This window comes from Homo sapiens, chromosome 7, assembly GCF_000001405.40.
Source record: "Homo sapiens chromosome 7, GRCh38.p14 Primary Assembly".
Classification (NCBI taxonomy): domain Eukaryota; kingdom Metazoa; phylum Chordata; class Mammalia; order Primates; family Hominidae; genus Homo; species Homo sapiens.
Window position 1 is genome coordinate 44219571 of NC_000007.14, and position 21966 is coordinate 44241536.

Sequence of the window (21966 nt, forward strand, 5' to 3'; positions counted from 1 at the left end):
CACCCCCAGGCTCTGCTGTCTGCCATGCGGCACTGCAGAGAGGGTTAAAGTCCAGAAAAGGGCCCACTCGGGAGAGAGGTTCAAGGTGCCCAACCCAATTACTACTATCCCTGTAAAACTGGGCTCTGGGCCCGCTGCACCCACCACCTGGGGAACGCCCATCTGGGGCTCTAACAGTCCTCACAAACAGGGCATGGTGCCCAGGACTGTGCTGCCCGGGGCCCATCCACCTGCAACCCACCCAGCTCTGGCCAGTGTGGACTGCTCAGGCCCTCACCAGCTCCCCAGTCCTCTGGGGAGGCCTGCCACACCCAGCCTGCCGTGGTCCCTAATTTGACATCATTCCTGTGGCCTCACCAGGAAAGCTCAGGGACTTCCCAGGCATGGCTCTGCACAGGCCCCACCGCTCCCCATCGCCTCCCCAGGCTGCAGCCACTCACACCACCGCCACCCCTCTGCCCCAGCTGTCACTTAGCACAGAACACTCACCTTCACTGCAGCGGGGCCACAGGCGCGCCCGAGCAGTGGAAGTGCACGTTCTGCCACTTGCCGTCGCGGCGGTGCCACACGCGGGTCTCCTCAGACTGGCTGGTGCGGGGCCGGCCCTGCCCGTCAATGTACTGCGTGAGCCGGATGTAAGCGATGCAGGCGGCATCCTCTCCAATGACGTGCACGTGTGGGTTCAGGATGGTCGTGTGGATCGGCTTGCTGTTCTTGGCCAGCACTGTGGACAGCAGGCGGGGCGGGGGTCTCGGGTTACCATGACTGCCCTGGTGCCCGTCTTCCACCCCACCAGCCTAATCCTTTCCCTCTCTCAACTCCCCTTATTGGGGAGGCTCGGCTCTCCTGGGAGCAGCATGGGCCCCTCCAAGAGTGGGATTCTGGGGGCTGGGTATGGCCTCTGGCGGGGGAGAGGTGGCTGGCCAACCCTGGGCACAGAGGGGACAGGGCTTCCATAGGCAGCCACCATGCTGTCCCTGGGAGGGGCCGAGAGGCTCTCCTGGGGGCACCGCCCCCTCATGCCCACCCGGGCTTCCTCACTCACGGTTCTCGAAGTAGAATCTGTGGAAGTCCATCCCTTCAACCAGGTTGCCCAGTGCTTCAGGCTCAAACGAGGTCAGCCCTGGGTCACAGATTTTCCTGGGGGCCAAATCCAAGTGAGGAGGGGCCCCGTGGACCCCTGACTCTGAGCAGGCCCCCCCAAGGGTCCCACATCCTTGTCCTGCACAGCCCCCCCCCAGCCCCAGGGACTCACGCGTAGGCCTCAAAGTCACCGTTGTTGACGGCCTCGATGAGCTGCTCCGTGGTCTTAATGATCTCCTGCTTCCGGGCTGTGGGGAGACATGGCCAGGTGACCACTGGGCGCTGGCCCATTCCCCCCGGACCCCTCCACACAGCCCAGGGGAGGGCCTGGGGGAGCGCGAGCTGCATCCATGCCGTGTTCCTGCCGCTATTTGCAGAAGAGGTCCTCTCCGCCGCCCCCCCTGCATCACCAGTGGCTTCCTCATTTTCAAGTGCAACAGCTTCCATCTTATTTTTCTTAACTAAAGTATTTTTGAAGAACAGAAATATTCTATCCACATTACAAAATGCCTGGAAAATGCAGAAAGAGGACAAAAAACCCACCCACAATCCACTTGGAGGTCACCTCCTGGCCCCACGTGCTGTCCGCCACAGTCTCCCTCCTGCCCTCCCGTGAGCCAGCCCCTGGGCCCACCAGGCCTGGCCCTGCGCTTCCCTGCAGCTTCCCGGCCCCACTCTCCTCCCGAGCCTTGGGTTCTTAGTGCTTCCTTCACCCAGCAGCTCTGGTGAGGGGGCTACTGAGTGCAGGCACCAGGCGAGAAGGCAGAGACCTGCCTCAGAGAAGGAGCCGTCAGCAAGGCCACCCGGAGGCCGGGGAGGAGGAAGCAGCAGGGGGCGGCCACGTGCGGCGCAGGCTGCAGGGTTCCCCGGAGCGATGACCAGGGCTGTCCCCGCAGCAGGAAGAACGAGCGTGGTCTCTTGTTCCCCGCTTTTCTCATAGGAGCCGCATCCGGCTGGCTCCACCTGCTTGCAGTCCGGGGCCCACATGCTACCCCTGCAGACATCCCTGTTGCCCCGCACCCCCATGCCCGGGCTACTCCCGGGCGCCTGCCTGCAGCTCCTGCCCGCCCCCCTTGGATTCCAACAGGCCACCCAGCCATGCTGGTCCTCACTGGCCTCCGGGGCGCTCACTGGCAGCCTGCATTGCTGCTTTAACTACAGCTTATTTTCATTGCAAAAGATTTTAAACGTATGGAAGATGTGGAGAGAATAATAGAACCCACACTCTACGGATTCAAATCTTAACATTTTCCTATTTGCTTTAGACGCATTTTTAAAGAAATAAAGCACCGCACATGTAGTTTGAAGATGCCTGTGTTCTCCTCAATCTTGCCGCATTCACTCTCCTCAGGCAGAACTACTGTCCTGAGTGAGGTCCCTAGCCGTATCTGCGAGGATATATACGCAGGCACGCACATACATGCACACTCACACACAGAACACACATGCACACGCACGCTCACCTATACACACGAGTAACAGTGGTTTCTCAAAGTAATTCGTCCGTGGAAAAAACTCAAACCCCCAGAAGTGCACCGGAAGCAGGTTCCTGGGAACTCTCCCTGTGGGGGAAGTCTCTGCACTCCCAGCACTGCGCTCTGTGACCCTCAGGCTGCTGCAGGCCGCACCTGGGACACCTGCCCTCAAACAGCTGCCCGCCCTGCAGGACACCATTTTCACCAGAAGGCAGGCCCTGTGGTGACGTTTCCACTCTTTGCTGTGAGTGCTGCCTCCAACGGCCACATACATGCAACCTGTCTGTGGTCTAAATTCCCAGAGGAGGGAATTCTTTTTTTTTTTTAGATGGAGTCTCACTCTGTCACCCGGGCTGGAGTGCAGTGACATGATCTCGGCTCACTGCAGTCTCTGACTCCCAGGTTCAAGCGATTCTCCTGCCTCAGCCTCCCGAGTAGCTGGAACTACAGGTGCACACCACCACACCCAGCTAATTTTTGTGTGTGTATATTTTTAGTGGAGATGAGGTTTCACCATATTGGCCAGGCTGGTCTCAAACTCCTAACCTCAAGTGATCTGCCCACCTCGGCCTCCCAAAGTGCTGGGATTACAGGTATGAGCCACTGTGCCCAGCCAGAAGAGGGAATTCTCAGCACGCCTGGTGGTGGGGTTGCCTTTATCTCTCTCGCCAGACCTCTGGGAGCTCACACCACCAGGGAGCCCACCTGGCAGGTGACTGAGTCCACAAAGGAGGCGCCACATGCCCGGGTGTGCTCATGCATGTGTGTGGGGCACTGCCTGGGAACGCCTGTGCTGCACCTGTCTGCTCTGGGGCCTCATGTCCCCTGCTGCACAGTGACAGCAGGAGGAGCCCGATGGCACCTGAGGAGTGGGGTGCACACATGTTCATGTATGTGATCACATGCATGTGTGTACACGTGATTGTGCATTCATGTGCATGTATGGAAACATGCACATAAGCAGGACGGCATGTGAATGTGTGTAGATGAAGCTCATACATATGCATGAGCACCTGTGCATGTGTGTGTGCAGTGCCTATGAGCGTGCACGTGTCGTGTGTGCCTGTGTTGTGTGGCGTGGGCACATGTGCACTCTTGGGTTGTCCCTATCTGGAAAGGCCCTTGCTCCTGACCCAGCTGTACTTCTGCTGCCAGCTTGTCTCCCTTTCTTTCCTAACTTTCATCTAGACCATGTCATGGATGGTCCTCAGGGCAGTCTTGCTACACAAGCCCAGTTCCCACCCACCTGGTGGACCCCGGAAAGCTGGCCTCTAGGAAGGTAGGCTGCAGGATCCAGAAGCCCCTTCCCCTCCAGTTCCTGCTGCAGCCACCACGAGTCCCATTCCTGCCCCATTCCACCTGCCCAGCTCTAGGAAGGCACAGGGCTCTGTCCCAACACATGCTGTGGCTGTTCCTGTCCTTGCCCCTGGGCCCCAGGAAAGTAGCATATGACACTTGAGGCCCGCCCCCGCCCCAGCTGCTATGTTCCTGCCTCCTCTCCACCCTCTGCCTGGCACCTGCCTCTCCCCTGCCTCATGCCTCCACTTTCACCTGTCCTTTCCTGGAGGTGGCCCCAAGCTTCAGGTCTGACCTCTCTTCCACCTGTAGCCAGTCCTTCCAGCAGCCCCCAAGCCAGCCCCCACTAGGCTGCCTGGCTCTGCCCTCCTTGCATCAAGAGAGAAGTCTGGTGTCCACATGTCCCAAACACCTCCTGTCACTTAGTTAACCTCCCTTTCTAATGTACAGAGACAGCTGCCCCTCCCACTCCACAGGGGTTCTCAGGCGCACAGCAGCAGGCAGCTGGAATGGAGAAGAGAATGACATTATGTCATTTGGTTTCCAGTCTGCTTTGGTTCTATAGTCACCTTACACTAATGGTAAGTGAAACTAATCTTCTGTTTAATGAAGTAATATGCAGTGCTTTTAAACAAATTGTAATTAAAATGGGAGTTGATGGGAAGAGAAAGCGTGAAGTAAACAGAAGAGGAGATGCATGGTCAGAGTTCCAATCAAGAGTGGTAACCGTGCTGAAGTACGGGAAGCAGGTCCGTTGTGAGACCCACCCACCCATTCCACAGATGGGAAGCCTAGGCTGCCCCTGCCCTGCGGAATGGCGCTGCCCAGACCCCAGCTCAACCCAGCCCCCACTCTGCCTCCCCACATAGCACATGGGAGCTTTTGTGTCCTTGATATCCAGGCCCCTGAAGAAGGGCATGATCCCTGATGGAGGGAAAGGAGGGGGGCCCAACATGAAGAGGTGCCCGGGTCGGGAAACCTGCTGGCTGAGGACAAGCTGTCCTGGCAGTTCCAGAGACAAAGGGGAGGTGGTGGGCAGGGCCTGGGCTTGGAGGGGTCTGCACGAGCCAAGAGCCTCTGCAAGTCAGGCCTTCCAGGTGCCCTGACATGAACAGGAGCCTTTGCATTGCCTGTGGCTCTCTTGGGGTGAGGCAACAGGTCCAGGCAGGCCTAATGCGTCCAGGTGGGGTCAGAGCAGGTTCTCATCCTGGCCTGGACTCCTGGGACCCCAGGCTGGCCCCAAGCCCATCTCTCAGAGCCAGAGGTGGCTGCGGGAGGGAGGGCAGCTGCCCAGGGATCAGGCTGGATTGTGTATAATCCGCGATTAGAGAGCGTGGGTGGGGAGGAGACGGGGCCTGAGGCGGGCCGTGGGCACCTGCCCTATTTACACAGCTGGTGGGTGCCTTCTGGAGAAAGGAGGTGGAAAGGAGGCAGAAAGCTGGCCACCTGCCACCTGGGCCCAGGTGCCCCCAGGGCAGTACCCAGACTCTTCCTTTCCCTGAGTTCCGGAACATCTCACCCACCCCTTTCCCAGCCCTGCCCAGCCCCTCCCAGGAGGGCCACACGAATCTCCATCCTGCCCTGCTCACAGCTCCTTCCTGCAGCCCCCTCCTCCCCAGCCAAGCTCAGGGAAGACTCTGGAAGGGCAGGTCTGTGCTGTGGCCCCTGAAGGTGAGCCTGGACACCGAGCCCCGAGCTGGCCACTCCACACCCACCCTGGGCCCTGTCCTCAGAGGACTCACCCCAGATACTGCACAGACCTTGAGGGCAGGCTGCAGTCCTGGGCTGGGGTCATGCCAACCTGATGGGGTGACCTTCCAGGCAGGCTCCTTTGGGCACACCCCTCCACTTCTGCAAGGGCAGCAAGCCCCTTAAAATCAGATGAGCTGCTGTAGAAGTGGCAGGTGTCGGGGGTTCTGACCACTCCCAGAGGCTCTGCGGTGCACCCACCCCAGCTGCACGGCGGCCCCTCCCCATGCCTCCCTCCTTGAGTTCTGGTCGCCCAGGCACCCCGACCCTATCAGCATCAAGAACCTGGCCTCTCCCCTCAGCTGCTTGCCTCTGATCCCCTCAGTCAACCCCTGCTGGGGGTCCTCAGCCGACCACAGAAGCTCTGGGGGTGAGTACCCCTCCAGGGGCTGCCCCCTGCTCTCTCGGGCACCCAGGGTGGATCCAGTGCCCCTTTGAGCCTGCAGCCTGCATCCCCCTCCTCGAGCCGCTGCTCCTGTGGGTTCACTCTCCCCACACCCTTCTGCCCTGGCCGCCTGCAGCAGCCCCCAGGCCCAGCCTGCAGAGGGGACGGTGGCAAGCAGACCCCACCTGTCCCTCAAGTACTTACCTAGCCACTGCCCTGCCATGCCGAGCCCGTGGCCCAGCAGCCTCTTCTCTAAGAGTATCTCCACACCACCCCCAGTCTGGTGTCTCCCCACAGGTGGGGGTGGCAGCAGCCCTGGGATGTCATCCATCCCTGTAAGTGATACTGCGGGTAGTCGGCAGACAGACCGGGAGGTGGCCCAGCCTGGCTCCTCCCTGGCCGGGGAGGCTGCCCAGCCTGTGCTTCCTGTCCCGCCCGCTCTGTTTCAGCCTGGCCCCAGCTGCCCCCCAGATCCGCGCCTCCCGATCCCCACCTGCTCCCTGCTGTCTGGACTTGGACAGCTCTAATGCTAGAGCGTCTCAGGCCGGGACTGACACTTTTCTGTCCCGGCCCAGCAGGTCCACCTTGACCCAAGCCAGCAGCTCCTGGCGTGCTAGCCCTTGCCACACGCGCAGACCCTTTGCCACCCATTCCCCTCCCATCAGGAGAAAGCTGTGGACCTCAGGGTTGCGAATGCTGGGGTCGGCAACAAACCTGCTCTTTCGGACGCTCTTCCTATACACATATGTCATACACACTTCATAACCATAACCTCCATTTTCTGAGACCCAGTGGCACCTTCATGTGCTTCAAAGCAATTCCCTGGGACCCAGCAGAGGGATCCTGTGCCCCGCCCTCCTCCGCAAGAATGGCCCTTCCCAGAGCACCACTGCCAGGCTCGCACGCCCCGAGCCCCTCCGGGCAGCCGCTGCCACGGCCACTCAAGGTGCTACTTACATGGGGTGGGCAGGGGGCCAGGGATAGTCGGAGATGGGCAGGGCGGGGGCCCCACTGGCGAGGGGCCCTCGGCTTCTGGGGTCCCTGAGCCCCTCCTCACAGAGTTCAGGATGTCAGAGATCCTGGGGGCTGGGGCGGAACAGACGAGACGTGAACACAAGGCAGGCACGGGGGGCACGCAGGAGAGAAACCATGGGCAGACAGCCAAGCCAGAGATTGAGGGGCACAGAGGCAGATGTGGGGGATGGGGCACAAGGGGACAGAGGGGAGGAAGGGAGAATGGGGGGGTGTGGGGGGAAGATGGTGGACCTGGGCCGACAGAGGGGATATAGGGGAAAGAAGGGGATGTGGGGGATGGAGGGGAGCTTGGGGGACAGAGAGGGAAACGGGAAATGGAGGAGACGTGGGAGACAGAAGGGAACGTGGGGGACAGAGGGGCATGTGGGGGGACAAAGTGGGGGTGTAGGGGATGGGGGGCATGAGGGGACCAAGGTGGGTGTGGGGGACAGAGGGGGGTGTGGAAGACAGAGGGGGTGTGGGGGACAGAAGGGGTCATGGGGGATGGGGGTGCGTGAGGGGACCAAGGTGGATGTGGGGGACAGAGGGAGTGTGGAGGACAGAGGGGGATGTGGGGGACAGAGAGAGGTGCAGGGGACAGAGGAGGGTGCAGGGGACAGAGGAGGGTGCAGGGGACAGAGGGGGATGTGGGGGACAGAGGGGAAGTGGAAGACAGAGGGGGTGTGGGGGACAGAAGGCGGTGTGGGGAACAGAGGGGGAGGTGGGGGACAGAGGAGAGTATGGGGGACAGAGGGGGTGTGGGGGACAGAAGGGGGTGTGGAAGACAGGAGGTGTGGGGGACAGACGGAGTGTGGGGGACAGAGGGAGAGTCTGGGGGACAGAGGGGGTGTGGGGGACAGGAGGGGGTGTGGAAGACAGAGGAAGTGTGGGGGACAGAAGGGGGTATGGGGGGCAGGGGGTGGAGGACAGAGGAGGGTGTGGGGGACAGAGGGGGATATGGGGGACAGAGGGAGTGTAGGGGACAGAGGAGGGTCTGGGGGGCAGAGGGAGAGTGTGGGGGACAGGGGGTGTGGGGGACAGAGGGAGTGTGGGGGACAGAGGAGGGTCTGGAGGACAGAGGGAGAGTGTAGGGAACAGAGGGGGTGTGGGGGACAGAAAAGGGCGTGAAGGGACCAAGGTGGGTGTGGGGGACAGAGGGGTATATGGGGGACAGAGGAGGGTGTGGGGGACAGAGGGAGAGTCTGGGGGACAGAGGAGGGTGTGGGGGACAGAGGGAGAATGTGAGGGGCAGAGCAGAGTTTGGGGAGGAAAATGGAAATGAGGGAAAGAGGGGAATTTGGGGGACAGAGGGGGATGTAGGGATAGAGCGTGGACTTAGGGGGACGTGGAGAGGTTGTAGGCTGACCGAGGGGGATATGGGGGGACGGAGGGAGACAGGGGGACAGAGGGTGCTGCTGCGGACAGCGTGGTGCGTGGAGAGGAGGCTGCAGGAGTGAAGGGCAGATGCTCTGGCTGTCGGGTGGCGTGGGCTGAAGCTGCTGGGGGCAGAGGGCACCCTCCAGGGAGAGGCTGCTGGCCAGCAAGAAGCTGTCAGGTAAGTGGCCCTTGAGGAACGCTGGACGGGGTTACAGGGAGAGGAGGGAGTCACGGGCGTTACAGAGGAGGCCTGGCCTGGCCCCATGAGGACAGCCCAGGTCAGCAGAGGCCAGGCTTATGATTCTCCGTACTATCCCCTTGTTGGTGAGCTCCAGAGACCCTGGTCGGGGTTCCAGTTTTGGCACCTTCCTCAGCCTCCTAGACTGAGGGAGGGTGCTCAGGGGTTGGGGCCACATCAGGAACCAGGGTGGCCCTGAGTGCAGCTCCTGGGCACCATGGGCAGGGCCCCTGGGTGGGTGTGAAGTCTGTGGGGCTGGGACAGTGATCAGCAGAGAGGGCCTAGGGGCATGGGGGGCCTCGGAGGGGCCAGGGCTGCCCAGGGCTGGGACAGACATTTTGGAGAGGGGCCTGGGGCTGGACAGCGAGCGGGGAGTGGCAGTGGGAGCAGGAGCCGTGGAGGGGTCTGGGCCCCTTAGGGAGAAGCCAGGAGCTGCCCTGCTGGTTAGCATGGGAGCCCACAGGAAGCCCCGCCAGGGCAGGACTCCAGGCTGCGGCGCCGGGGCAGGGTAGCTGGGCCGTGCATGCAGGTGGGAAGCTGCTGAGCGCCGGCCATTCGCAGGGAGCTGTCCGGCAGCAGAGGCGGCAGGCCTGGGGGCCACTACTTACACGGGGAGGACAGGGGGCCTAGGAGAGCCGGAGACAGGCAGGGCGGGGGCCCCGCTGAGAGGGGGCCCTCGGCTTCTGGGGTTCCTGAACCCCTTCTCACAGAGTTCAGGATGTCAGAGATCCTGGGGGCTGGGGTGGAACAGATGAGACGTGAACATGAGGCAGACAGACACACGAGGCGGCGGCAAGGCGGAGGAGGCCAGTGGGAGGGGTCCCGTGTTCTAGACCCCTTGGGCCCTGGGATCAGGCCCTGAATCAGAGCCTGCCTCAATAGCAGGGAGCCCCCCCGCCCGCAAGCTGAGGTGGAGTGAGGCCTGCACCGACCCTGAAGACTGGAATTGAGGCCCGAGCCTCCAGGGCCTCCCATCCTGCCCAGTGGCCTTGAGCAGGAAAGTGGTCCAGGGCCCTCCTCACAAAGAGGTGGGGCTCGATGGGCTGGGGCCACCCTGGAAAGCCCCAGTGAGGGATTGTGGGGTGATGAGGCTGGAGCCAGGGTCCACGCTCAGCCTGCCCTCGGCTCTGGAGTGGCCCCTCTAGGGGGTTGCCAGCCCTCCAACATGACCCCCACAGCAGCAGGACCCAGGCTACTTACATGGGGCTGGCAGGGGGCTAAAGGGAGCCGGAGATGGGCAGGGCAGGGGCCCCTCGGCTTCTGGGGCTCCCGAGCCCCTCCTCACTGAGCTCAGGATGTCGGGGACCCTGGGGGCTGAGGCGGAACAGGTGAGGCAGGCAGGTGGGTGGTGCGCCCGCAGGAAAAGAAGGCAACTGGAGAAGGACAGGGGGAGGCCAGGAGGGAGGGAGGGGGTGACAGCTGGATACCTGGGGCTCCTGGGGTGGAGGTGGGGTGGCCACCTGTGGGGGTCCTGGGCCTGTGGTGGCCGCAGCAGGTATGTGAAGGCTGAAGGAGCCAACACGGGACCGGTGCCAGAGCCAGAGCCAGCAGAGGCCAGGGCAGCACAGGCCAGTGCAGGCTGGCGCAGAGTCAGAGGCCACCCTGCCACCCTAGTGCTGTGACCACCCCTGGCCAGAGCCAGCAGAGGCCAGGCGCACGGAGAGGGAGTGACAGTCATCGTAGGGGCATGATGGCCACTGAGCCTGCCTGGACTCTGTACCAGCCTCAGGGCAGGCTGGCAAGGCTTCTTTCTGCACGGGGTGGGGTGGGGGGTGTCTGCCTCCACCTCGAGAGGCTGCTCGGGCTCAGATCTGAGCCACAGCTGCTGGCTTCTGGCTGTCTTCTCTTCTCCCCTGCAGGATCCAGGCTGGGCCCCCCTCCCAGGTCCCCTCCCTCACTGCTCAGCACCCCACTCGGCTGAGGGTGATGGAGAACCTCTGGACAGCCTTCATGCTGTTGCCTTTGGGGCCTGTTCCAGACTGCAGGGGAATCACACAAACACCCACTCTCCGGCATCCAGGGCCCAAAGTCCTGTGCTCATCTCTGCTCAGGGACAGTGTCATAGCTGGGTAGGCCGGGCAGGAGCAAGGCTATGCTTTGGACAGGTGAGAAGTTTTCTCCCCTAAACTGGCAGAGTGGCTGACCCTTTTTGGGCACCAGGGTAGCCCTGAGAACAGCATAAGGCTTATTAGGTGACCGTGTGAGCGATGAGGGTCAGGAGGCCCCATGTGGGTGGTCTGGAGGCGGCAGAATCCATGGAGCATGCCCCAGTGCCTGGTGCCCTGGGGGCCTCTTGGGGAACACACAAGACATTGGCCTGGGTGAGCAAGGGAGGGGGCCCTGGAATCTGTGGTGCAGAAACCCACCGCAGCAGGACACTCCTGGCTAAGCAAAGGCAAACACGGAAACACTCACCCAGCTGCCCGGCCACTTGGCAAGTGCATGCTGGACAGAAACGCAAGCTTAAGGAGCTTTAAGACAAGGACAGCATCTTGGAACAAATTCTACCCATGGGCCTGTTTCCCCGTGAGGGTCCTGGTGTGGAGAACCTGCCTCCATGCAAAGCCGTGGCTTCCTCACTTGGATGCGGTGACCGAGACTGCCCAGCTGTCGGTCATCTCTGCCATGCTTCTCCGCTCTGGGCAGGCCTGACACCCAGGCTTGGAGCAGGATTACAGCTACAGGGTCCCTGAGCCCCTCAACACATGCATAAACTAGGCGTCGCAGGAGAGTTGACCCTGCCCAAGTCCCACCCACCTCAAAGAGCAACCCAGCAATGCCAAGGCCGCTGGGGGGGCAAGGACTCAAGTGCAGGTACCTTTAGCGTCTTCATCCTCTATGGTGGTATTGGCACTGTCAGAAGACTCCTGAGGAAACACGGGAGGCAGCGGGTCAGGATGCGGCCAAGGATAGGTGGGACGTGGCTGAGGGCAGGTGGACAGGGCTGGGCCTGTGTCAGGACCAGCCCAGGCTCTGAAGCTGATCTCTGCCTCGGCTGCTTCCACGGGGCTTAAAGGCCAGGGGCTCAGGGGACATGCCCTCTGGCGGCTGCAGGGCCCCAGCTCTGTGGACCTCATGCGGCAGTGACCGGAGAAGACACCCAGTTCTGTGCTGGTCCCTGGGAGGGCGCCCCTCACCAGGGTGCATTCTCACGGCAGCCAGCACAGGCTGGCACGGAGTCCGAGGCCGGCCCTGCCACCCTAGTGCTGTGGCCACCCTGCATCCCCAACACATGAGGGCTCCACTTCTCCCAGCAAGATGAGCCTGGCAGAGAGACTGGTATGCTCAGCTGACTCTTTAACAAGAGAGGAAAATGGGCTTTTTGAAATTCCAAGACGTAAAACACAATGGGACTGGCTGGTTCCAATGAAGCAGCAGCCGGTGTCATCCAAAATACAGGGTGAGGCGTTCCCAGGAGCTCTGCAGATCCGCACAGGGCTCCAGGAACCTTGGCCTGGCCCCAGGCAGAGCATTCCTGTCGCCCACATTCCCTCAGGGCACCTGCCCCTCTGGGACTGGACGTCCAGTCAGGCCCCGGCCTCACCTCTCAGGTGGCCTTAGAGGGCAGAGGTGGCCCCAGACTCTCCCACCCTGCTCCAGGGCTGCTGCCCTTCAAAAGACCATCCCCCAGGTCCCCAGGAGGCCTGCTCTGCTCCTCAGAGGAAACATCTTACAAGGTCCCTGGGGGACCGCCCCCTGGTCTGGACACTGCCTGGACACTGCTTGGAGGCCCTAGACCAGAACTACAGGTCTTTAGGTGCAGGCTCAGAGTTCACCACAGCCCAGAAGGTTGTTTAGGAGTCCTGCAGAGAGCATGACCCACCCCAGACACACACGGGTCCCAGGGGCACCCATCCCCAGCTGCCAGATGGGAAGAATGCCCAGGCCCTGGTGCCTAGCACCATGGGTGCCCCTTGGACCCCCTGGTCCCTGCCATGGAGAAAGATGTCTTCTGATGATGGGCTGGGTGGTGGCACTGGCCAGAAGGAAGTGGGGGGTCCCCACAGAGGCACTCTGGGGCTCTGTAAGGAGCCCAGGCCTAGGTGGGAGCTGGGCTGGAGGGCCGTGTTGGGTGTAGTGGCGCTGTTTTGGAAGTCCTGGAAATGGCTTGGCTGCTGGCCCCATCCCTCCCACCACCCCAGAGAGCCAGCCCCTTCCCTGGCCCCAGAGTGATGATGCCAATGTGATGGGAGCTGATGGCCAGAGCAGAGAGGGGAGCAGAGGAGGGAGGGTCTGCTCAGCAGGAAGCACTGGGGGCCACGTGAGGGAGGTGGGGTGGAGGACAGCCAGGAGGGCCAAGGATGCAGCTCCTGAGATGCAGGCCCTGCTCCAGACCTCAGGAAGCCCTACTGCCTGCCGTAGGTGGGACACGCAGAGCCCTGGTCTGAGAGTGTCGGCCACATGGGGACCGGGCGCAACTGTGCCAAGCACCTCCAGGGGCGCGCCTGGGGCCTGAGCCAGTCTGTCCTGTTGTTGCCCACGAAGACGGACTGGGGCCCTACCGTACTGCGGGGAGGGGCGGCCAGGGCATGGGACATCTGCCCTCCACTCTGGCACAAATGCTGCCCCAGACCTCTCTCCTGGCCTGGAGCCTCCTGCCTGGGGAAAGCGGGAGGAGGAAAGTGGGGCAGTACCTTAATCCCGTCCACTGGGTTATGGATGACGGTGGTTTGAGGCTCCTACAGAAGAAGGAAGACACAGAGGAAGGAAAGAGAGGGAAAGTGAGAAGAGGAGGAAGCGGAGACCACCAGGAGGGGAACAGGGAGACAGAGGAGGTGTGGGTGGCCAGAGCCTGCGAGAAAGAAGTGCAGAGCAGAGTGGGGGACAGGGATGGAGGCGGCGTGGAGCAGCTGGGGGAGGAGCCTGGGTCAGCCGGCAGGGATGGAATGGACAGGAGCTCTGTCCAGGCTGGCGGAGGTGCTGCTGTCCAGGGTGGGAGATGGACCGTGTGGGGCCCCGACAAGCTGCACAATGTGTGTGGGAGCCAGAGAAGCCAGGCTCGGTCTTGAGGGGTTCTCCCTACCCTTTACTGCCTGAACCTGTGCCCCAGCGTGGTGGGGGGCACAGGTTTGAAGATGTCATGGGGGTGGCGGTGGCACATGGGATGGACAGGGTCCGAGATGGGGCTGGCTGTGAGGCTGGCACGTGGGCTGCCCTGGCCACTGGAAGGCCCTAGGTAGGCTGCACCAGGCCACCCTCCAGCCACGGCCTGGCTGCTCTGAGCAGCTCGCCCCTCCCAGGACCGCTCTCCTCTCCTGGGTCTCAAGGTGGCCATTTGGCAAACCCAGTATTCCCGTGGGCGGTCTGGGGCTGGCTCCCGAAGCCTGGCCTGGGGTTCTCAGGGGACACCAAGCCTGCTTCCAGCAAATATGGGGACCTACGGGCCAGCAAGCCCCAAAGCTCTTAGGACAGCTGAGGGGACACAGCACAGCGCCCCAGCAGGAAGGCCGGCACCCACCAGCCACAACTTTACATCCTTGGGAGTACTGCTATAGGGTTCACCTGTAGGAGCCCCCAGGGCAAGGGGCACTGAGGGGCGCAGTTGGAGCGGAGCATGGTGGGGACCCCTCCCCTCCCCGGCAGGGAGCCCCTAAGCCCTGCCTCTCAGGCAGCCACAGAGCAGCACTGAGGGAACACAGAGGTGACGGCAAGCCCTCCCCTTGGCTGCCACTGGCTTAGACACCTCTCTACTGCACCACCGTGGCCCCGTCTCCCCATGGGCCGTGGAATGTGCCACTATGGGCTGTTCCCCCTGCAGATCCTGGCCCAGCCCCACCAAGCCAGACCTTCGGAGTGGTCTGTGGGTCGGCCTGTTGAGGATGGTGGAGGAGCTGAGGGTGGGGTCCTGGTGGGGAGAGGGTATCTTCTGCCTCACTGACTTCCTGAACACTCCTGGAGAGACATCCACAAGTCAACATGGGTGGGAGGCTGGGCCTCTCCCCTGCACCCCAACATCTGTGGGTCTCAGCCAGGGGCTCCCCAGAGCAGTCCTAAACCTGTCTGAATTGGAGCCCCCCACAACAGTGGCCTCTTCTCTCCACTTCACCACCGGTGAGGGATGAGGGGCGGGGGCCATGCGAGTGCTGTCAGACAGGCCAGGCGGGGCCAGACCCCACCTTCACCCGGCCCCCTCTGACCAGCGGCAATCACACAGCCAGGGGCGTAGGAGGGGCTGAGAGGCAGAATTTGAGGAGCTCAGTACCAGGGCGGCAGGAGGAAGCGTCCCTTTGGGGCTGGTGGCGGCTGCACTGTTTTTGGTGCTATTCGTCTGGGGCTGTGGAGAGAGGGAAGAGGAACTCTTAGGTGGGAGAAGCCCCTCACTCGCCATTCCCTGTCCCGTGTCTCTCAGGGCATGGGGGGAGGGGGACTCCAGAGCAGGAGCCCCAGGGCGTGGGGGTGAAGCTGCAGGCTCTGGGCTCCCCGGCACCACAGGGCCCGGCTGGAGCCTCACCTTGACTCCATCTGCTTTCTTGTTGAGTAAACTCTTGGCTGCTGCATGGGGAGGAAGAAGGTATGGTGAGTGATGGGCCTGGGTCTCGCTGCAGCGCAACCCCACCCCTTTGCCTGACCCCACTCTTTCCCCAGGAGCAAGCCCAGGGTCCTGAGGCAAGTGTGGTTCCAGCACCCAGGCTGGCTCTGAGCAGGTGGGGGGGCCATCCCATCACCCCAGGACAGCCCTGTCTCCAGCCTCCTCCATGACCCTGGGGCTCCTGCAAGCATCCAGATTTCTCCTCTGACCAGACCCAGAGATGCCCGTGGGTGCTGGGGAGCCCCCTTGGCTTCTGGGCCACATGCAAGCTCTTCCTAGAGGAAGGCAGGATGCTGCTTCCTCCCTGATGGGAACTCAGGACTAGCTGTGTCAGGTTGGGGTGGGGGCAGCTGAGCCAGCACCCCAGAGGTCATGCCCTCCCGGGCCCTGCCTTCCTGGGGTAGGGGTGGGTGGGCTGCAGCTGGCCGCCCACTCAGAGGGCCTTGTCCCAGCCCAGGCGCTCACCCTGCTCTCAGACCTCATACCTTGGCACCCAGGCCTCAGAGGTCTGTCCCATTGGCTCCTTGGCTCAGGCACCAAGGGCAGCCCTGCTCGCCCTCATTCCGAGCTGCCCAGCAGCCCTGGCCTTGGGGCCGCTTCTGTGCACTGACTGGGGCCAGCACAGGCCTTTCTGCCCACAAGCCCCTGAGGATACTTGGTCCCAGCAGCGGGGCCCCTGCCTCACCCAGCATTCCCCCTCAGAGGTCAGAGGGGCCTGGCCCCAGCCCCCGGTGCCCACACCCTCCATGGCTGTTAGGATTTTAATTACAGAACTAAAAAATAAAAATAAATAAAAAACCAAAAGAGGAAGTCAGCTTACCTTACAGAAAAGGAAAGGTGAGAAGGGGAGGGAGTGAGGAAGGAAGAGAGAGAGAGAAAACAAGATTTGTGTTGGTTCGGGCAGGGGCGCAAGACTGCGGGCCCAGGACTCACAGGTCACCAGTCCTGGACCACGCTCACCAAAAAGAGCCAGGGCCATGCGGCCAGCCGGTACAGCAGGGTTAGAGAGGCAGCCAGGCTGGAGCCAAGGGGATGACGACATGGGAAGTGTGAGGATGCTTGCCCCCGGGCCAAGCCGGGAAGGAAGGTGGCACAGCAATCCCCCATCCCTCCCCCACCGCCTGGCTCCAGGACCCTGGCTGGCCAGGCCATGAAATTGGGTCCTCCTGCCTGGGGATCCCGTGCTGCCCATGCAGGCCTGGGTGGGGACAGACAGGCACGTTTCAACCTAGGACTGCAGCGCTTCTCAAATGGGATCCTCCCCCAACCCCAGCAGCAGCAGCAGCAGCAGAATCGCCCTGTACAGTCAGAAATGCAAATTCCCAGGCCCACCCCGCCCTCCTGAGCCAGAACTTCTGCAGGGCTGGACATCTGTTCCATAAGCCCTCCCGGTGGTTCTGACGCTGGGTGCTCCAGGTTGCCGTGGAGATCAGGAGGCTGCACCCCGCAGGGCATAGACAGGCCTGGGCCTGCTGCCTGCTGACCACCCCCTCCCTGTCCAAATGCCCAGTGCTGCCTCCTCCATGGCTCTGGCCCCTCCTGGGCTCTGTGGGGACTGGGGTTGTGCCTGCGCAGTGGCTGCACGTGGCCCTGCGGACCCCATGTGCAGTGGGCACACACTTTCTATTCCCAGCCTCCCCTTCCTCACAGATCTCTTAACTCTCAACAATTTTGTATCCAGCCCAGGAGTCCCTCCCAGGATCCATGGAGAAGTAGAGGGGCCTCAGGCATCACTCTCCGTCCCCAGGCCTAAGGCCCCTCCTGGTGAAGCTGAGCACAGCGCCACCTCCCTGATGTCCCAAGGCAGCCCTGCCCAGTGAGTTCCCAGGACCAGAAATGCCGACTGCCCACTTCCCTATAGCACAGACTGAAAACCCTCCCCCTCGCTGCAGCTCAAATCTGCTTCCCTGTGGCTCAAATCTGCTTCCCTGTAACTTGCTATGGAGGGAGAGTCCTGAAGACTTGGAACTCAGGGTTCCAGGACCCCCACAGTCCCCTCTCCTGTCTGTGCATCCCACCCTCTCAGCTCCCCTCCCATCTCCAGTACACACAACTCATCCCAGAAACACCCGCCCAGTGCCAGCCAGCCTGAGGCTGCAGCTGAGGGATCCTGTCCTTGCTGGTGACCAGCTGCCCGACACAGCTGGGGGACGGGCTCCTCCTAGGAGCCTGAGGAAGGAAGCATCCAGCCTCGCCTTGAGGACATTTGTCGTGGGGAGCTGAACAGGCAAGGAAGGGACCCAGTCCCTTCCAGAAACACACATTTCAAAAAGCTGTGGCCAACTGAAGCAGGCGGTTTCAGAAGGCTAGTTCCACCCCACCCCCGAGGGGACAGTCAGGCACGTAGCCTCCGCCAACCCAGCGGTACTTCCAGCCAGGCTCTGCATTGGAACCGGGGCCAGCATGGCACCCTAGGCAGCAGCAGAACTGAGCTCTTTCCCCGGGCATGTCCTCAGAAGATTCTCACAGGAAAGGAGGCACCACAGTTAGGCCCATCGGCGGGGCTGGCAGAGACCCCGGACAGTCCTTGGTACTAAGAGGGTTCTATTTAGATCCTTGAGTCTATCAAAACCTGCATTTCCAAACTATGCTACTGGAGATGTACCACAGCAGCAGTGGGAAATAAAAAGACAGAAGTTCACAGTCCAGTGGGCAGCAAATGCCACGTACAAACCAGCCCTCCTCGAAGGACTCAGGCCGACGCTGCCATCAGAGCTCTGGGAAGCCCTGCAGCAGACGTCCCTGTTGTCTCAGTCAGTTCCCAAACATCCTTCCTTGTGAACCCGCTTTTAAAACAATCGCTTGTGCACGCCTTGGGCGCAGTGTGGGGTGCATGGGCCCGGCCCTCCTGAGTGCATGGCTCCCGGCCAACCATTTTTTGGGGGGCTGCTCATTTCACATCTCTGCCTGGGACTAACTCCAGATTCACCGTGGCCAGAGTCCTGTCGATGCCCATCTACACTAGCATTCAAGGGCACGGGAACTTCCTTTCTGTGTCTCAAGTTCAAAGCATGCGTTAGGTGCCGCAGGAGCCCAGGGTAGGCGGAGCAGTCACAGGCATCTCAGACACCTGGGTTGGGGGTTCTGCAGGCCTCTGTGGGACAAGGAGAGACCCTCTGCCCTCCATCCTGGGAAGGCACTGCCCATTCCCGGGTCTCCAGGCCGGGGCAACTGCTGCCACCCTGCAGCTGGCCGGACACTGGGTCTCCTATGCCCTTACACCTGATCAATGCAGGAGAGACCACAGAGGCCAAACTGAAGCACACTCGACAGACGGGGTCTCTCTGCGGGCCGAGGGGGCTATGCCACATGGGCTGGTACCAGACTCTGACTGGATGGTACTAGACTCAGCTGCCATTGGCAGAGAACTGAGCTCCATGCTCACTGCCGTGTGATATGGCTGAGCTGGGCTGACCTAGCAGGATGGGTGGTCCTCTCAGCCCTGCCTCTGCCTTGTCCCCTTAGCTGGTCACCCAGGACAGCCATGCTGGGCTCTGTCCACATGCACTGACCACCCTCCAGGACAGAGCTGCTCTCGGCGCCCAGGGTGGAGCCACACATGCAGGGCCTCATGCACCGTCGCCCCACGTTCACTTGCAGACAGGCGGGCATTGCAGCGGGAGCCCCGGGCACAGGGCAGCGTAGAGGCAGCTGTCTCTCAGCACTGTCCCCTGGGCAGCAGTGCCTCCCCAGAAGCCACTAGCCTCACTCTTTTCTAATCACAGCCCCCTCCCGCCTGCGCTCTGGAAAGGCCTGTCAAATGGAGAAGACGTGGGAGGGCTCTCCCGGGGTGCTGCCTGCTAGACACGTCCACTGGGCTCATGGGAGGAGAATAGACTGCCCTCCCCGAGGACGCCCTGGGCCTCCCCAGAAGGAGGGTTCTCTGGCTGGGAAGGCCAGGCTGCTCACCCTGTGGGTCATGAGGAGGCCTGGGGAAGGCAGTCTCCAGCACCCTGGAACCTCTGCCGGGTCCCCAGCCCACGTTGGAGGCACCGACAGGGAACTCAGCAGCTCAGCCCAGGGAGGATCTGGGGTCACCCCTGTAGCCCTCTGTGTTCTGTGGCCAGGCGTTGTCAGCTTGGCCTGCCCTAAGCTCTCACCAGCCTTCAGCTCAGGCTGGAGCTGCAAGGAGGTCTTGGGGTCGCCTAGCCCTCATGGGGTCTGCCCATGGTCACAAGCCAGCAGGTGGGCAGAAGCCAACTTGGGCCTCTGGCTCTGGCCCCGCACAGCCCAGAGGAGCAGGTGGCCAGTGCCGGCCTTTTCCCTCACAGGGTTTGAGGCCAGGGGAGGAGGACTTTGCAGAAACAACCCAAGAGGAAGCCTTGAAAGTCTCCTCAGGGTGCATAAAACCCTCACCCACTCCAGAGCGGCTTGTCCTGGGGGGATGCTCAGGGCAGACATGCATGTGTAGGACTCAGCAGCACAGACCACCGTCTCCATGCGGCCCCAGAGGGGCAGGGTGTGTGTCTGCCCCAAGGGCCTCTGCCTCTCTGGCTCTGCTCCTCAAGGCTCTCCTTTCAGGATTCAGACCCCCCAGCAGCAGGCCCAGTGGCTCCCTGTGGGCCCAGGCCATTCTTAATGGGGGTCTCCGGACCCCCAGACCTCGGGGGCCAGGACCAGAAGGGCTTGGTGTAGCCCAGGGGCCACCTAGCCCAGCCCCTCCTCTTACAGGCGAGGAGCCTTGGGGGCTGCCTCCCTGCCCTTGTGGTGGGCTCTGCTGGGATGTGACCACACGGGAGCAGGGGCTCCCGGGGGCCTGGCGGCCTCTGGGGCGGCTCTGGAGCCCGGCCAGCGGCTGCGTGCAGCAGGGGGCTGCATGCTGGCAGGAGGGACGGGCGGGAGCGGGCGGGACGCTGGTCGAGACACATCTACCTTGTTCCACCAGCCCCATGGTGGTGCCGGAGGCCGCGGTGGACATTGTGGCCGGAGCGGTGGTCTGTCTGCCCACTGTTAGCACCGGGTTAGAGACGAGGGGAAGGGAGGGGTGGGCGGACACAGACGAGGGGTGGGCGAGGTAAGGGAAGAAAAGAGACAAAGGAAGCAGAAGAAGATTAGAGTTAAAGTTTAGGTGACAGATGGTTCCAGAATCCTTTGCTCAAGAGAGTGAAAACAAGATTGGACTGATTGACACGGAAAAGCATTTGCCTCCTTTCTCCTTAGAAAACCCCAGTGGGGGCTTCTCATGCCCAAAGGGTGTGGTGAGCACACAGCAGACAGGACAGTCCTATTAGTGTTGGTGTGACCGTGTGCACGCGTTCCCGGCATTACAGCATCACAGCAAAAGTAACAGGATGGCGGGTGGGGGGCACCAGATGCAAACGGACAACGAGAGAGACGGATCACAGACGCTCGCACACGGAGTGTCGGACGACGGAGAAGCCACAGGTACAGCTTGTCCAGACCTGGGCTGCCGGCTCCACTCCGGGGCTAACATCATGCCCGATGGGTCTGCCAGCGCCCTGGGCCTCAGGGGTCTATAACAGACCCCACCCCCCTGCCAAGAGAACTTGCTTCCCAACCACCCACCCTGAGCAGCCGGGACAGGAGGCTGCAGCTCATCCAGAACTTGGAAGGAGGCCCCCGAGCCTCCCGCATCACCCCGCATCCCTTCTGCCCACCTCCCGCACAAAACACAATGTTCAGAGCACTCAAAATGACAAGGAGGCCACATAGATGCCCGACAAACGCCTGGACAGACACACACGATGCTGTGAGCCCCAGTGGGGCAGCACAGACGCTCGTGTTCAGGGGGTGGAGGGACACAGACCCAGCACGAAGGTGATGGCCTCGGGGGGCTGGACCCTGTGGTATCACCCAAGGTGGGAGCCCAGCGGGGCCAGGTGGGCAGTGGGTCTCAGAGCTGAGGGCAGACGCCGAGGGCAGGCCTGCCGCAGAGGAGGAGTGGAGAGGCTGGTGAGGAAGGAGGCGCTCTCCTGCGTGGGCCAGCAGGGAGGGGGCAGCGCCTGTCTCCCTGGAGAAGAAAGGCTCACCTGAGAAATTCCGTGTGGCCAGCATGGTGGTGAGGATGGCTCCCTGGGGAGAGACACAGATAAAACCGGGGCTATCCCATCAGTGTTCCCTGCTGGCTTCTGGCCAGGATAAGACCCCTGTCCTCCTGCCCAGATGCTCAGCCTCATTGTCATGAGGCTGACATGACCTCAGCCTTCCAGAGAGGCAAGAGCTCCAGGAAGCCAGCAGCCGCACTGAGACAGATCACCTATTTCCAGAACTACACACACCCTGGGCCTAAACCTGTTGACCAACTACAGCTTCTAGCTGCTTCAAGACCCCTCAAGCCTCAGGGGTCACCAGAACAGCTGGTCACCACGGCAGCTCCTCTGGGGTCCAGCTCCCTGACAGCCCCTTCTTTTCCTGACAGGCTCAGACAGGGCAACAGTCCTGGGGCTTCCGGGGAGAACTGCTCAGAGACCAGCAGAGGGCAGTCAGGCAACAAGTCCCCATCCCGGAACCCACAAGTAGAGGGACTGCCAGTGTGCGGTCACCGGAGCCAGCCCTGACCAAAGCAGGCAGGTTGGATACCCTACTGGGACCCACCTCCCTCCCAGAACTCCCCCAGCCCACCCAAGACCAGTGTGTGTGGCTCTGCTCTCCTTACCAAACCTGTCTGAGCCGGAAGCTTCGGACTTGCTTGTACTAAACAGTGTGACTGCCAGAGGGTGAGTGCTGCCTGCAGAGCCCGGGTGAGGAGCCCACAGCGAGCGCTTCAGGACAGCTCCTCCAAGGGCTGCTAGGAGGTGGCACAGACAACTAGGAGGAGCCACACCTGGCCCAGGGCCCCTCTGGACTCATTCCCAAGCTG

The 21966-nt window shown here is 62.0% G+C and overlaps 1 protein-coding gene across 35 annotated transcripts in view, besides 6 other annotated features; it reads right to left on the reverse strand.

The window, feature by feature from the left end:
• Positions 1-21966, reverse strand: part of CAMK2B (calcium/calmodulin dependent protein kinase II beta) — a 108860-nt gene that overhangs the window by 2417 nt on the left and 84477 nt on the right. For 2 of the 35 annotated variants that reach the window (XM_011515559.3, XM_011515547.2), the window contains exons 12-24: positions 21137-21179; positions 20019-20093; positions 15069-15106; positions 14820-14891; positions 13252-13296; positions 11436-11484; positions 9818-9931; positions 9226-9354; positions 6946-7074; positions 6193-6321; positions 1256-1331; positions 1046-1140; positions 490-724 (exon numbers count right to left, since the gene is read on the reverse strand). In XM_011515559.3, coding sequence (XP_011513861.1) covers positions 492-724; positions 1046-1140; positions 1256-1331; positions 6193-6321; positions 6946-7074; positions 9226-9354; positions 9818-9931; positions 11436-11484; positions 13252-13296; positions 14820-14891; positions 15069-15106; positions 20019-20093; positions 21137-21179 — 1227 coding nt within the window. In that variant the 3' untranslated portion in view covers positions 490-491. Of the gene's footprint in view, positions 1-489; positions 725-1045; positions 1141-1251; positions 1332-5614; positions 5744-6192; positions 6322-6945; positions 7075-9225; positions 9355-9817; positions 9932-11435; positions 11485-13251; positions 13297-14819; positions 14892-15068; positions 15110-20018; positions 20094-21136; positions 21180-21966 lie in introns of those variants that run through there. The other 33 variants (NM_001293170.2, NM_172078.3, XM_011515552.2 and 30 more) reach the window with 32 other exon arrangements.
• Positions 1423-1987: an enhancer, noted in NCBI's record as "H3K4me1 hESC enhancer chr7:44260592-44261156 (GRCh37/hg19 assembly coordinates)". NCBI's record gives its function as "activates a minimal SCP1, AML or CMV promoter by ChIP-STARR-seq in naive H9 embryonic stem cells {active_cell/tissue: H9 hESC(naive)}" and the evidence as "EXISTENCE:reporter gene assay evidence [ECO:0000049][PMID:30033119]".
• Positions 1988-2551: an enhancer, noted in NCBI's record as "H3K4me1 hESC enhancer chr7:44261157-44261720 (GRCh37/hg19 assembly coordinates)". NCBI's record gives its function as "activates a minimal SCP1, AML or CMV promoter by ChIP-STARR-seq in naive H9 embryonic stem cells {active_cell/tissue: H9 hESC(naive)}" and the evidence as "EXISTENCE:reporter gene assay evidence [ECO:0000049][PMID:30033119]".
• Positions 16156-17039: an enhancer, noted in NCBI's record as "H3K4me1 hESC enhancer chr7:44275325-44276208 (GRCh37/hg19 assembly coordinates)". NCBI's record gives its function as "activates a minimal SCP1, AML or CMV promoter by ChIP-STARR-seq in naive H9 embryonic stem cells {active_cell/tissue: H9 hESC(naive)}" and the evidence as "EXISTENCE:reporter gene assay evidence [ECO:0000049][PMID:30033119]".
• Positions 21307-21506: an enhancer, noted in NCBI's record as "active region_25933". NCBI's record gives its function as "activates an Ori minimal core promoter by ATAC-STARR-seq in GM12878 lymphoblastoid cells {active_cell/tissue: GM12878}" and the evidence as "EXISTENCE:reporter gene assay evidence [ECO:0000049][PMID:35858748]".
• Positions 21667-21736: an enhancer, noted in NCBI's record as "active region_25934". NCBI's record gives its function as "activates an Ori minimal core promoter by ATAC-STARR-seq in GM12878 lymphoblastoid cells {active_cell/tissue: GM12878}" and the evidence as "EXISTENCE:reporter gene assay evidence [ECO:0000049][PMID:35858748]".
• Positions 21757-21856: an enhancer, noted in NCBI's record as "active region_25935". NCBI's record gives its function as "activates an Ori minimal core promoter by ATAC-STARR-seq in GM12878 lymphoblastoid cells {active_cell/tissue: GM12878}" and the evidence as "EXISTENCE:reporter gene assay evidence [ECO:0000049][PMID:35858748]".